Source organism: Homo sapiens, chromosome 15 (genome assembly GCF_000001405.40).
Source record: "Homo sapiens chromosome 15, GRCh38.p14 Primary Assembly".
NCBI lineage: Eukaryota > Metazoa > Chordata > Mammalia > Primates > Hominidae > Homo > Homo sapiens.
Window position 1 is genome coordinate 80601682 of NC_000015.10, and position 14502 is coordinate 80616183.

A 14502-nucleotide genomic window follows, 5' to 3' on the forward strand; every position below is an offset into this window, starting at 1 on the left:
GTTGCAGATGCAAAAATTCTAAAAATATAACATTGAATTTAACTGCTGTGCATATTTTTATAACTCAACATATTAACATATTTTGTAAATAAATAGATAATTGGTCAAAGAAAGAAAAGAAAAATAACCTCATTGATGCTAAAAACAATTCTGGATAATGTTTATCCTTAGAAGAAAGACATAGAATGACTTGTATGATTCAATTCCTTAAAACAGATTAAGAAAGAGAAAAAAAAAGAGGTATTGACTAAAAAGGAACAGAAAAGTAGCTGAGGCAATTATGGCAAAATGTTAAACAGCTGTTTCATTTCGGTAATGAGCACGTAAAATTCTATAATACTTTTCTCAAAATGATGTATAATGGAAATATTTAATAATTAAACAGAACTCAGAAAGCAGACACTTAAATCTCACAACTAGTCAAAGAAATGCAAATTAAAGTAACAATGGCATGACATTTTTCACCCCAATGGACTGGCAAAAGTGGGAATGAATGTGAAAGGATTGTCTTAGTTATTTTTGGTAAAAATAGAAATTTTTGCAATTCATTTTGAGAGTGACGTGACAATATCTATTAAATAAAACTGTATCTTTGACTCAACTATCCCATCTCTAATAATCTGTCTTAGCGAAATAAGAATGTTGAATACAGATATATTTATAGAAATATTTATTGCCACCTTATTTTGTAGGGGTGGAAAACTGTAAATTAAGGCAAAGCTCACTGATAGAAGAATGGATGAATACATTGGAGAATACCTACTTCATGAACTATCAGATAGCATTATTTCAATATATTAATAAATAAAATAAATAATCAGAAAATTATAAATGAAATTAATCTATGTTGATAAAGCAAACATGACCAAAAGCACATTAGTTAGGTTCATGTGTGAGTACATGGTTGTATATATACATACATATGTACATGTAGAAAATGTATAAAGTATTCAGCCTGGGCAACATTGCAAGACCCTGTCTCTACAAAAAAAAAAAAAATTAATTAGCCAGGTGTGGTGGCACATACCTAGTAATCTTAGCTACTCAGGAGGTTGAGGTAGGAGGATCACTTGAGCCCTGGAGTTTGAGGCTGCAATAAGCCATAATCATGCCACAGCACTCTAGAGTCTAGGTGACAGAATGACACCTTGTCTCAGAAAAAAAAAATGTATAAAATACCATATTCACATTAATAAGCTGTATTTGGAGGGATTGTAGAAGCAGAGAAAGTAAGCAAAACTTAAAATAAATGTGTTACGTATAATAACATTGCATTTACGTGAAATTATTTACATATGCATTTATTCATTTATCTTGTGTATTTCTCCAAGAAAAAAAGGCATATGCCTTTATATGTATAACAGATGGATGAAAATCCCCTCATGATGGTCTCAACCTAATGGGATCTGAGGTGAAGTTCCCTTCCATCCTTGTAACTTTTAATATGACTTGTTCTACAAAGAATATATATTACTTATAAAATCATTAAAAGTAATCTAAAGCAAATTGCCTGCCAGAATAAGAAGAGAATAAATGATCACCCACAGTAACTTGAAATCTTGAACCACTATGGAATTTTGATGCCAAGGAGTGGGAAAGAGAAGGACACCTGTGTGCAATGGTAGAATGCACTCTAGCTGGACACACCTGTGGCAGATGGGAAGCTGAGTGGACTGCAGGGCACGATGAGGAGAAGAAGTACTGAATGAAGGCCAAAGGACCTGCCATGACCTAGGCTGGTGCTTTACCTGTAGTCCCTCTTTCAATCCTCAAAATAAACAGCTAACAAAAATATACCCTTTACATAGATGGAACAATATAATTATTTTTCTGATTTTTCTGATGATATACATTCATTGTTTTTAAAGTGAAGGGTATAGAAAAGTATGAAGAACAATAATACTGTATTCCAATTCGCTCTTTTTCTTTTTCTGACAGAGTCTCACTCTGCTGCCCAGGCTGGAGTGCAGTGGTGCGATCTCAGCTTACTGCAACCTCCTCCTCCCGGGTTCAAGCAATTCTCCTGCCTCAGCCTCCTGAGTAGCTGGGATTACAGGTGTTCACCACCACGCTCAGCTAATTTTTATATTTGTTTAGTAGAGATGTGGGTTCATCATGGTGGCCAGGCTGGTCTTGAACTCCTGACCTTAGGAGATCCACCCGCCTAGCCTCCCAAAGTGCTGGGATTGCAGGCATAAGCCACTGTGCCTGGCATCTTTTTTGTTTTGGAGCCATGGTCTCCCTCTGTTGCCCAGGCTAGATTGCAGTAGCACAATCACAGCTCACCGCAGCCTCGACCTCCTGGGCTCAGGTGATCCTCCTGCCTTGGCCTCCTAAAGTACTGTGATTACAAGTACGAGCCACCACACTTGGCCCCAATTCACTCTTATTGATGATTGGGACAAGTGAGTAAGGAGAGGTGAGAGGGGTCAAGAGCAGGGGTGAGGGAAGCACTGTGTCTGCTCAGAATTCAGGGAGTGGAACAAAGCCGCTGGAAGAACCAGCACTCATTCTCATGATACCACCTAGACTTTACTCCCCTCTCAGCCTCCACTCCCAGAGAGAACTTATTTTTCCACTGAGAAAAATAAGCTTATCCCCCCGTTACCATGTTGATGCCTGACAATCATGAGCTTCTTTCTCCTGTAAATCCTTTAAGCATGTTCTCTCAGTAAGCATTTGCGTGGCCCCCACCACCTGCTCCATGAACAGTGCTGGGGTTGAGGCTACACAGGGACGACCCAGGTCCCACTCATGAGGACTGCCTCATCCTGAGGGGAGAGGCAAGCAATATGATGTTCTGGAATGTACTAAGGATTTTGGTAGAGGTCACCTATTCTGCACCAACACAAAAGAGGGAAGGGGGAGTCCAGGAAGGGCTGAGTATCTCATGCGTTTGTGATTAGCATGACTTAAGCAAGAGGTCCCAGTTGGGGCCCATCAAAGATGGAGTCTACCCACTGGGCGCACAGCTTGTTGGCTCAGCTTTTGCAGAAATCACTTAACAGACCCCCAAATCCAAGCCCGAGACCCCTATAAGTCATGAAATAGCTATAGCCTCTCAGCAGGACACCAGATTAAAATGCCTGGAATGTAGCTTGCCTCTAGTTCTACAGCCACAACCTCCTAATTATAAATTACTAATTCTTTCCACACATTTTACCCAGAGTCAAACATATATGCCAAGAATAAAGAAATGTGGCCTGGGGCTGATGAGGCCAGAAAACATTTCATCACAGTGATTTATCAGAGTGTGAGCATTTCTCATTCACAAGGCTCATTGAGTGCAGGTGTGCCTACTCGTTTTTTTCGCAGAATCCCCACTCCTTTAAGTGGAAGCTATGTTTTCATTGCAGCCACAATGAGTTTACGTTGGGCCCATGGAATAGAGCCATGTCAGGGATGATGTTACATGGGGTTCCTGGAAACCCTCGTGATCCCTCATACCCCACCTACTCCTAGGAAAGGCATGGTTTTGAGAGCTCCCTGTGGAAGGGCACACAGGGCCAACTAGTTACCAACTCCATGAGGAACCAGGACCCCAGATGTTAAGAAGATGCCGGGGAGCTTGGAGTCATCCTAGGCTCACTATCAGCAGTCAGAATGAAGTGTTAATTCAAGAACAGCAGGCTCTCTTCCTAGTCGTCACATTGGGGTGGGAAAGAGTTTTGTCCAAGCCCGGGTGCTAGCACAAAGAGATGGGCTGGCTCCCCTGGAGACAGGACAGAAGAAGAGAGAAATGATTCAGGGTGCGATGCTGAGGACGTGTTCAGTGAAGGCTACTTCAGGTTTTTCCTTCATCGGTTTATGCCCTGTACAGTGCATGACACTCAATTAATGTTCAATAAATTCCAAAGAATTCGTCCTACTCTGGGTCGCACCATCATTCCTCAATTGTCTTTATCTATAATGAATTCACAGTGACTGGTTGCAGCTTTAGAAAAGTTTTCAGATAGGTCTCAGAACCCCCACTCTGTGCTGGCTATGAGCGTGCAAACTTGTATTTTCATTCCTGGTTTGCTTCAAGTCTATGGTAAGGAAGCAGAGAGCTGGAATGGAGACACAGTTGGCATCTCATTGTGACAAAAATTGGCAGGCTTCAAGGGGACAGGCTGGCAGGAGTAGTCAGAGAGAGGTGGCATCTCATCTAACCTGAATCCTTGGGTTCTAAAAGGATTCCTAATGAATGACAGATGGGAAGAATTGAAAAGCAATGAGTAAAGTACGGATTCCTGTCACCCGAGTGGACCCTGCATGATGCCTGGGGTCATCTGATGGGAACATGGCATGTCTCAGGCAGATGGCCTGTAGATAAAGAAAAAATGGAAGAGAGGCAGGTGATCAGGCTTCGTGGCCGGGGCCAAGATGGAAATGCAGGTTCTCACTGCGTCTTGTGCCCAAGGATTCTGTAGATGCCACAGATCCAGGATCCAAGGGACCTGGGCCTCCTTGGACATTAATGAGGAGGTTAGGGACACAGGGAAGGTTGAGAGAGCATAGCCTTGCTGAGCAGGCCACAGAGGTCCCCGGGACTCTACTCGTCTGCTGGAGAGACATATGGTGCTGCCAGCAGGCCATGGGACCCTCTGCCTATTTTCATCCACACCTGCCCTCTGCTTTCATGCTCAGGCACAAGGATCCATATCCCTTTTTTGAAAGACTGTCCTTAAGCTGTTGGATCCTACTTTGCCAAAGCATGCAGAGCCAGGGGTTCCTAGGATTTTACATCCCACAGAGAATAGCTTATTACCAATGACTCCTGGGTGCAGGGGCATCAATATGCCAGCTTCCTTGCTCCTAGATGGGGGCATCTCTAAGTTGTAACATATTTTCTCTACAGCATCCCAGTGGGATTGAGATACATTTACCCTCTGCAGAAACTTTATTTGCCTTGCTTAGTCTTCTTTCTTTTCAATCTCAATTCCTGGAGTGAGATGTCTCCCTGAGCCTTCCCTGGGGTTTGGTGACAGCTGAGCCTCCTTGTGTATTGCATGTTCTGTGCAATTTTGTGGGATGGAGGTGGTGGCAGATGGAATTTCCACATCCCTCCCAGTTTTTCCTGGGAATTCCTTAAATAAATCACTTTTACCCAATTTTTCTCAGATTCCACCTCGGAAGAACTCAGCCTCAGGCAGGACTATTGTAATAACCACTAAACTGCAGCTGCATAGATAGTAAGAACTTGTAAATGCTGCTATGTAAATTACTCTCTTACAAAAAAAAACAAAAAACATATGTGCTTTTAAAAGCTATAGATAGAGGCTGGGTGCAGTGGCTCATGCCTGTAATCCCAGCACTGTGGGAGGCCGAGGCGGGCAGATCACCTGAGGTCGGGCACTCCAGACCATCCTGGCCAACATAGCAAAACCCCTCCTTTACTAGAAATACAAAAATTAGTGGGATGTGGTGGCGCACACCTGTAATCCCAGCTACTCAGGAGTCTGAGGCAGGAGAATCACTTGAACCCAGGAGGTGGATGTTGCAGTAAGCCGAGATCATGCCACTGCATTCCAGCCTGGGTGACAAAGCAAGACTCCTTCTCAAACAAACAAACAAACAAAACAAAACAAAAACAAAAAACAATGTTATAGATACAAAGAAATTAAGTTTCACTTTTCAATCAAAATAATATTTTAGTAATGTTTCATACTATAGATGTGAACAGTACTTTGTCCTCAAAGATCAATTTTTTCAAGGACTAGAGAGAGCAACCCATCCCTATTTATTAATACTTAGACTTTCCCAGTTTTGGCAGTGAATGTAGCACATTCCAGGAAATGCTTCAGTCCCAGGAAAACTAGGACATTTGGTGACCCTACCCTGGATGCCAATATTTGTTGCCTGGGAAGGCACAGCCCTGGAGAGGAGGAAGCTGATAGGATTTTATAAGACCACAAAAGTCTGAAGGGGATTTCAGTGATAACGGAGACCACCTTCTCAGAGGAGGAAAGGAGATCCAGATGTTCTGAAGAATTTTATTTTGTTTCCCAGAAGCCTCAGCAAGAGAGAAAAGCTCCTCTCAGCCTGGACTTTCTGCAGAAGCACGGCCAGAAATCAGACTCACAAAGATCCTGTGAGAAGCTGAGGAGCCCTCTCTATCAAATTCCACTCACCAGGCCTGTGGTGAATGACCCTTCCACGCTGACCCAGAAAAGCCTGGCCAAGTCAAGTGCATGTACTCTGCTCAAGTCCACACCATAAACCGAAGGTGAATCCACCCTAGTGATTTACCCATTAAAAGGAATCCTGAGTCTTTGAGGCTGAACTTTCTGAAGAGAGCAACATTGCTTCTCCCCTGAGGAAAACCAACATAAGACTCCCAGCAGCCTCATCAGACCTATAAGAACCCTGAGAAGGAGGGAGTGGCTGAAACTCAAAGCTGGTTCCTTCAGCAGAGAAGGGGAAATCTGGGCAGAGACCCTGGAGCGCCACCCCAAGAGTGCAACCTCCAATGCTTAGCCTGCTGCTGGTGCCCCCAGTCAGGAGACCATTTCAGAAAAAGCCTGGTGTGATGGTTAATATCAAGTGTCAACTTGATCAGATTGAAGAAGGCAAAGTATTGTTCCTGGGTGTCTCTGTGAGGTTGTTGCCAAAGGAGATTAACATTTGAGTCAGTGGACTGGGAAAGGCAGACCCACCCTCAATCCCGGTGGGCACCATCAAATCAGCTGCCAGCACAGCCAGAATAAAAGCAGGCAGAAGAATGTGGAAGGACTAGACTGGTTTAGTCTTCTGGCCTCCATGTTTCTCCCGTGCTGGATGTTTCCTGCCCTTGAACATCGGGCTCCAAGTTCTTCAGCTTTTGGACTCTTGGACTTATACCAGTGGTTTGCCAGGGGCTCTCAGGCCTTTGGCCACAGACTGAAGGGTACCCTGTCGGCTTCCCTACTTTTGAGGTTTGGGGACTCAGTCTGGCTTCCTTGCTCCTCAGCTTGCAGGTGGCCTATGTGGGACCTCACCTTGTGATTGTGTGAGTCAATACTCCTTAATAAACTCCCTTTATATATACATCTAACCTATCAGTCCTGTCCCTCTAGAGAACCCTAATACACCTGCATCTTCATTTCCTCAGGCTGCCACAACAAATTGCTACAAAGTGTGTGACTTCATAGAACAAAAATTATCTCACAGTTCTGAAGATCAAAAGCTTGAAATCGAGATCTTGGCAAGGTTGGTTCCTTCTGAAGGCTCCATGCCTCTTCCTGGCACCTGGAGGCTGCCAGCAAGCCTGAGCATGCCTTGGTCTGCAGCTCAATGTAATTGAGATGTTAATTACATTTGCAAAAGCTCTCTTTCTAAATAAGGTCACATTCACACATACCAGGGGTTAGAACTTGGACATATTTGGGTGGAGGGCAGACATCATTCAACCAACTTCACAGACAAGGGGTGAGGGAGGGTTCCAGCTGCCAAGTCTTCCACAGAGATGGACAGGAATCCAGGTGCTCTGTCTCAGAAGTGAGGAGGCCCAAACCAAATATCCAGGAGTGCAAGAAGCAGTTACATGCATCCTTGCTAAAGAAGTGGGAGCCAAGGAAAAGTACGTGCCAATTCCCGATTAAGCTTTTGGATGAGCAGAGATGACAGTTGCATGAGCTAGAACAATACATGGACGGGAAGCAAAATCAGCCGACCTGGGAGAGACAACAAACAGCTGGTCATCCCCAATGCCAGAGAGGGAATGGCTTAAGGAAAACTTGGCCCATGATATTTAAACCTCCAAAGGACAATAATGAAGTGGGAGGTTCAGGGCTATTCTCTAGGAACCTCCTTTCAGGCACTCTCATCTGCCACCACCCCCACCCCACCACTGCACAGGTTTAGAAGATTCAAGACTCATGGAAGGCTCGGGACAGGTGTCCTCAACCCTCCTCATTGCAGGCTCAGGGGGACGCCTCGCCCTAGATGGGGGAAGCAATCAGGACCTCAAGTGGAGAGGGAGGCTTTCAGGATGCTGAGGGCCAGCTGCACTGATCTCTGTGATTAGAATATGATTCACTGCGAAATGGGAGGTGGGAGGGAAGATAGTTTCCAAAAAGGCTGCCCCCAGGTCTGTTGTTTGTGGAAGCAAAAGGAAAAGAGACAAAGCAAAGGCAGGAATTATGACTTAATTAAGGAAATGGGGCAATGAAGAAATCTGGCAGGATATAAGCAGTAGTCATAAATCACTAAAACCAACACTGCCACTCTTGTTCAGCAATCCTCAGGCAGAGAAAAGAACAAGGCCTATGTGAAAGAAACAAAGAAAGATCCAATGTTCTCAAAAATATGAATCCACACAGCTTAAGGCTAATAGGTTCAGTGATGAAGATTAGGGAGGTTGTTCCATTTTTTTTTTTTTTTTTGCTTTAGTTTTGCATTAAAATATATTGCATTCTTACTTCTGCCTGGAATCTATTTGTTAAGAGGACAAGATTGTGATCTAGAAATGCCCTAGAATAGACAAACTTCCTGGGTGAAAAATTGATTAATGCATGTTTTTTTTTGTTTTGTTTTGCTTTGTTTTTTTGTGACAGGGTCTCATTCTGTTGCCCAGGCTGGAGTGCAGTGGCATAATCTCGGCTCACTGCAACCTCCACCTCCCAAGTTCAAGAGATTCTCCTGCCTCAGTCTCCAAAGTAGCTGGGATTACAGGCGGGTGACACCACACCCCAGCTAATTTTTATATTTTTGGTAGAGATGGGGTTTCACCATGTTGGCCAGACTGGTCTCGAACTCCTGGCCTCAAGTGATCTGCCCACCTTGGCCTTCCAAAGTGGTGGGATTACAGGCATGAGCCACTGCACCCGGCTGATTAATGCGTGTTTGTAGATTGATTGAAGGTGAGGAAATCAATCAAAAGGCAATGCTGGATTTGCCAGTTGAAGGTTCTACTGCATGCACCTCCCCGGCCTGTATGTACTGGTGATGTCTCACAAAAAAACACAAGAACAAGAGGGTCCTTAATTTCCAAATTCAACTTAATTTGTAAGTCTTAATTTCCAAATGCAACTTTGATTTTGTTGGATTTTTTTTTTTTTTTTTAAACAGACTCTCACTCTGTCACCCAGGCTGGAGTGCAGTGGCACGATCTTAGCTCACTGCAGCCTCTGCCTCCCGGGTTCAAGCGATTCTCCTGCCTCAGCCTCCCAAGTAGCTGGGATTACAGGCACCTGCCACCACATCTGGCTAAATTTTGTATTTTTAATACAGATAGGGCTTTGCCATATTGGGCAGGCTGGTCTTGAACTCCTGACCTCAGGTGATCTGCCTGTCTTGGCCTCCCAAAGTGCTGGGATTATAGGCATGAGCCACCATACTCGGCAGGAAGAGCATTTTGTAATTTATAAATAAACTGCATTTACACTGTACTGAAGCCTTAGTTTTTTAAAGAAACCATTTTCTTTTGAAATAATTATAGTTTTACAGGAGGTTGCAAGGAAATGTACAGAGAAGTTCTGTTCATCCTTCTCTCTCCTTCACCTCCTTTTTAACACCTTACACAGCCAAGAAATTTACTTTGGTGCAATCAAAGAAATCAAAGAAGCCAAGAAATTGCACTCTAGCCTGGGCAACAGAGCGAGACTCTATCAAAAATAAATAAATAAACAAATAAATAAATAAAAAGCACTCTTCCAACTTCCTCTTTCTTTCCTTTGTATCCTCTGGCCAAGGTGATATGAACTCACTTTCAACACTCAAGAAAGCCAAAAGGAAACCATAATTGTTTTCACAGACATGTATCATGGGAGTAGCATCAACAATGTCAAATGACAAGATGACATGGCTGAAAAGTAATTTCCAGCCTGAAAATGTCCAGTGGCTTTGGAGCTTAGGAGTCACTGGGGACCCAACAAGTACAAGTCCAGTGGCAAGGCAGAGGCAGGAGCCAGGGGCCCTTTATGTGGGGACTAGTCCCCTGAAGGTTATTCAGACGAGGACCCAGACATCATGAAGCAGTTACGACCTTGATTGCCGCCCTAGATCACAAGGTAATGCCTAGGTTTTAGAAACAGGCTTCTTGGGCAGAACAAGCAGCAAGATGACCTGATGGCGGCAGGAACCGAGCTGAGCCTGCAGGTGGAGGTCAAGAGGTCACAGCAGTGGGCAGAGAGCTGACAGTCTAGTAGCTGGGCAGGCTCGGATGGCCACTTTTTTTTAGAGACAGCATCTCTCTGTCACCCAGGCTGGATTGCAGTGGTGCAAGCATAGCTTACTGCAGCCTCACACTCCTGGGCTCAAGCAATCCTTCCACCTCAGCTTCCTGGGTAGCTGGGACTACAGGTGTGCACCACCAGGCCTGGCTAATTCTTTTATCTTTTTGTAAAGATGGAGTCCAACTTTGTTGCCCAGACTGGTCTCCAACTCCTGTCTTCAAGCAGTCCTCCAACCTCATCCTCCTAAAGCGCTGGGATTACAGGCGTGAGCTGCTGAGCCAGGCCTTCCACTTCTTACTGTGTAAGCAGGTGTTCAGGGTGTTCAAGGATCACTGCACACATCTAAAGACTCCAGGCCAGGTGTGGTGGCTCATGCCTATAATCCCAGCACTTTGGGAAGCCGAGGCGGGCAGATCACTTCAGGTCAGGAGTTTGAGACCAGCCTGGCCAACGTAACAAAACCCTGTCTCTACTTAAATAAATAAATAAATAAATAAATAAATAAATAAATAAATAATTAGCCAGGCTTGGTGGCAAACACCCGTTATCCCAGCTACTTGGGAGATTGGGGCATGAAAATCGCTTGAACCCAGCAGGCAGAGGTTGTAGTGAGCCAAGATCGAGCCACTGCACCCCAGCCTGGGCAACAGAGCAAGACGCTATCTAAAAAATAACCCTAAATAAATAAATAAAGTCATCTGATTTAGGTGCTCACCCAGCTGGGCTTAGCCTTGAAGAATGAGGCTGTGGCATTGTACAACTGTCCTAAGAATGAAAAATGGGACCTGTGTGTGCTGTTCTTCCCCCACTAAGTGGTCACTATTGATCTCAGCAATGCAGCATTCATTGGTCCCATGAGGCCTGGAAAAGACCATTGCAAGTTTCTGACCTTCATTTAGTACTAGAATAGATTATAAGCCACTCAGACCTATATGTATACCCACTGACCCATTCACCCTGACCTGAGAATTTATGATAGAAAAATTGCTCAATAGAAGGAAAAGCAAAATGCACAAAATTCCTCATTTCCATTTTATTTATGTGATATGGTAATGCTTTAATATTAAACTACAGATGTTCCGTTCTCATTATTCCATCCTTCCCTGCCCACTCTCTACTCAGGCAGCAGAAATAGCCTCCACATACGGTGCCACTAGAGGACAGAAGAAAGAGCCTCCAGCAAGCTTGTCCAACCTGAACGCATGCGGCCCAGGACGGCTTTGAATGCGGCCCAACACAAATTCGCAAACATTCTTAAAACATTATGGGGATTTTTTCAATTCTTTTTTAGCTCATTAGCTATCGTTAGTGTTAGTGTGTTTTATGTGTGGCCCAAAACAGTTCTTCCAATGTGGCCCGGGAAACCAAAAGATTGGACCCCCCGGCCCTAACACAAACAAGTTGATTGTTAATAAAATGTTATGTGAATTACTTTAAAAAGGTAGAGAAACAACAAGCTATTTTGCAAAATCCAGCCTTTATTGAAAGTTAAAAAGGACTTTCAGCCAGGCCTGGTGGCTCACAACTGTAATCCTAGCACTTTGGGAGGCCGAGGCGGGTGGATCACCTGAAATCAGGAGTTTGTGACCAGCCTGGCCAACATGGCGAAACCCCGTCTCTACTAAAAATACAAAAAATAGCTGGGCTTGGTGGCAGGTACCTGTAACACCAGCTACTCAGGAAGCTGAGGCAGGAGAATCACTTGAACCTGGGAGGCGGAGGTTGCAGTGAGCTGAGATTGTGCCACTGCACTCCAGCCTGGGTGACAAAGCAAGATTCTGTCTCAAAAAAAAAAAAAAAAAAAAAAAGAATTTTCTAGGCATTCTAGGATCTGAACTTCAAAAATAAAAAGCCAAACTTGGAGGACGGAGTGGAGGTTTTACTACCCAGTGAGTAAGAAAGACTTCCCCGTGACCTCGTGGTGAGCTTCCCATCCAAAACGGCAGCGAGACTTTGCCTGCAGACAGGAAGACATTCAGAAAGGAGTATGGATGCTCATAGATGCTGCGGTCATCTCACGGAATGCTAGCCCTGGGTGCAGTGGCAGATATAGTCCCAAAATATTTGTGGGTGTCGCAGACCAGTCAGGCTGTGTCTCCTTTTCTCAAGCACAGCAAAGCAATTCAGCCCCCAGGCAGAAGGTCAACCATGTCAGGGTGGGGCTGAGGAGGCAGCAAGAGTCCCCGATCACCCAGGGAGATGCAGAAATGCTGACATAGCTGGAGGCTGGAAAAGGCGTGAGGTTACAGCAAGGATGACCCAGGGAACATGGGCCCTTGTGACCAAAGATGGGGACCGTAGACATCAGTGCCAAGAGCAGCTCCCGGTGTCCAATTCCAGGCATGTCAAGCCTCAGCGCCACAGGTGCTGGCGAGGACAGGAAACAGCCAAGTGAGAGGAGATAACCCCTAGGGCCCCTGGAAATTAGAGCTCCTTGGGAAAGATGGAAAGTGGAAGCTAAATGAGGAGAGTTTCAAAGGTGGCTCTTGACCCAAAAGATGCTATCATAACTTTTAAAGGAGAATTGAGTGAAAGAATAAGAGTTTTCTACCCTCTGTGGAACTAAGTGGAGTTCAGTCTCAGAATCGTCACACACCAAAGAGGTGCAGCTATAAATTGTTTTTGTTCTTTTTTTTCTGACAGAGTCTCGCTCTGTTGCTAGGCTGGAGTGCAGTGGCACGATCTCAGCTCACTGCAACCTCCACCTCCTAGGTTCAAGTGATTCTTTTGCCTCAGCCTCCTGAGCAGCTGGGACTACAGGCACAGGCCACCATGCCCAGCTAATTTTTGTATTTTTAGTAGAAACGGGTTTTCACCATGTTGGCCAGGATGGTCTCGATCTCTTGACCTCGTGATCTACCCGCCTTGGCCTCCCAAAGTGCTGGAATTACAGGCGTGAGCGGCTGTAAATTCTTAATGGGCTGCAATGAGAAACCAGGAGCTGTTTGGCAGCCATTAAAAGGTATCAATATGACAAAGATGGAGCAATGTGCCTCAATGCGTGAGGATAGGCGAGGTGAGCTGAGGAGTGACATCTGATTTCTGGGATTTTCTTAGAAGAGATATCCTAGGCTCGGGGAGTGTCTAGGTGAAAGGGAAAGGACGTTTTACACCGACTGTCGTCATGCATTCTTGCCAAGCTGCCTACAGTGAACTGACTGCTGGATACTCCCTCAGAATCTGTCGTCCAGCCTTTGAGAAAATCTCGTGGTCACGAATTTGACCACCAAGCCAAAGCAAAGGATGCAGCCCCTCGGAGCCCAGGCAGCTGTGTCCAGTGAGAGGTGCCTTTTCCAGGATGCCAGGGAGGTGAGGCAGGACTTACATGCCGGCTTCTCCTTCTATCTCTCCGCATCGCCAGGACCACATTCGGATTCATAGTGTGGGCAGTGGGTGGAGGGCTGCCAGGAAACATGGTGCAAGTGCACGCTTCACAACACCTCATGCCAGGGGCCGGCAGAAAAGGGCCTGCCTCCTGAGGGGTGTGTGTGGCGGGGTGAGAGAGAGAGAAACGGGGAGAATGTGTGTGAGACAGAGTGTGTGTGTGTGTGTGTGTCTGAGAGACAGAAAGAGTGTGAGAGAATGTGTGTGCATTTGTTGGGGGAGAGAGTGTATGAATGTATGTGTGTGCTTGCGTGTGTGAATGTGTGTGCGAGGAACTGTGTGTGTATGTGGGGGGAGAGAGTGTGAATGGGTATGAGAGTGTGTGTGTGTGAATGCGTATGAGTGTGTGAGTGTGTGGGGGAGTGTGTATGGTGTGTGTGAATATGTGAAGGGAGAGTGTGAGTGTGTATGTGTGTGTGGGAGTATGTGTAAATGTGTGAGGGAGAGTGTGCATGAGCGTGTGTGTGTGAGTGTGTGTGGGAGAGAGTGTGTGAGAGGGTGTGCCTGTGCATGGCAGGGGGCTCTGGGTTTGGGAAGCAGAGGTTCTTCCGCTCTGGCTTCCGCACTGGCCCCCTATCCTCCAACACAGCCCCGGCAAATGAGCGGCTCCGCGTCTACTCCAGCCTGCTTGCTTGGCGGGAAGGAAAGAACAGGAGCACCCTTTTGCCGTATTCCACGCACATTGTGCTTGCAGCTCAGCCTTGTGCCCTGGATGTACCACAGGGACAGCAGCACCTCACCACGGGGCCCCAGTGCTCTCACCCAACCCTTCACCCTTCTTCTTCACTAGCCCAGCCTTCCAGGGCTTTGGATTGTCTCCAGAGTTGCAACAGTCAAATATTTTTACTCATTGTTCTGTTTGGCCTCAGCCTGTGTTTCCAGCCTCCTAACTCCTCCATGGTCATGTTTTCCAATCAAATCTGACTGCTTATTGCTATCTTAGTCTGTTCAGGCTGTCACAACAAAATACCACAGGCTGGGT

General features: G+C 45.5%; 1 annotated feature.

Moving 5' to 3' along the window:
- Positions 13649-14150: an enhancer, noted in NCBI's record as "H3K4me1 hESC enhancer chr15:80907671-80908172 (GRCh37/hg19 assembly coordinates)". NCBI's record gives its function as "activates a minimal SCP1, AML or CMV promoter by ChIP-STARR-seq in primed H9 embryonic stem cells {active_cell/tissue: H9 hESC(primed)}" and the evidence as "EXISTENCE:reporter gene assay evidence [ECO:0000049][PMID:30033119]".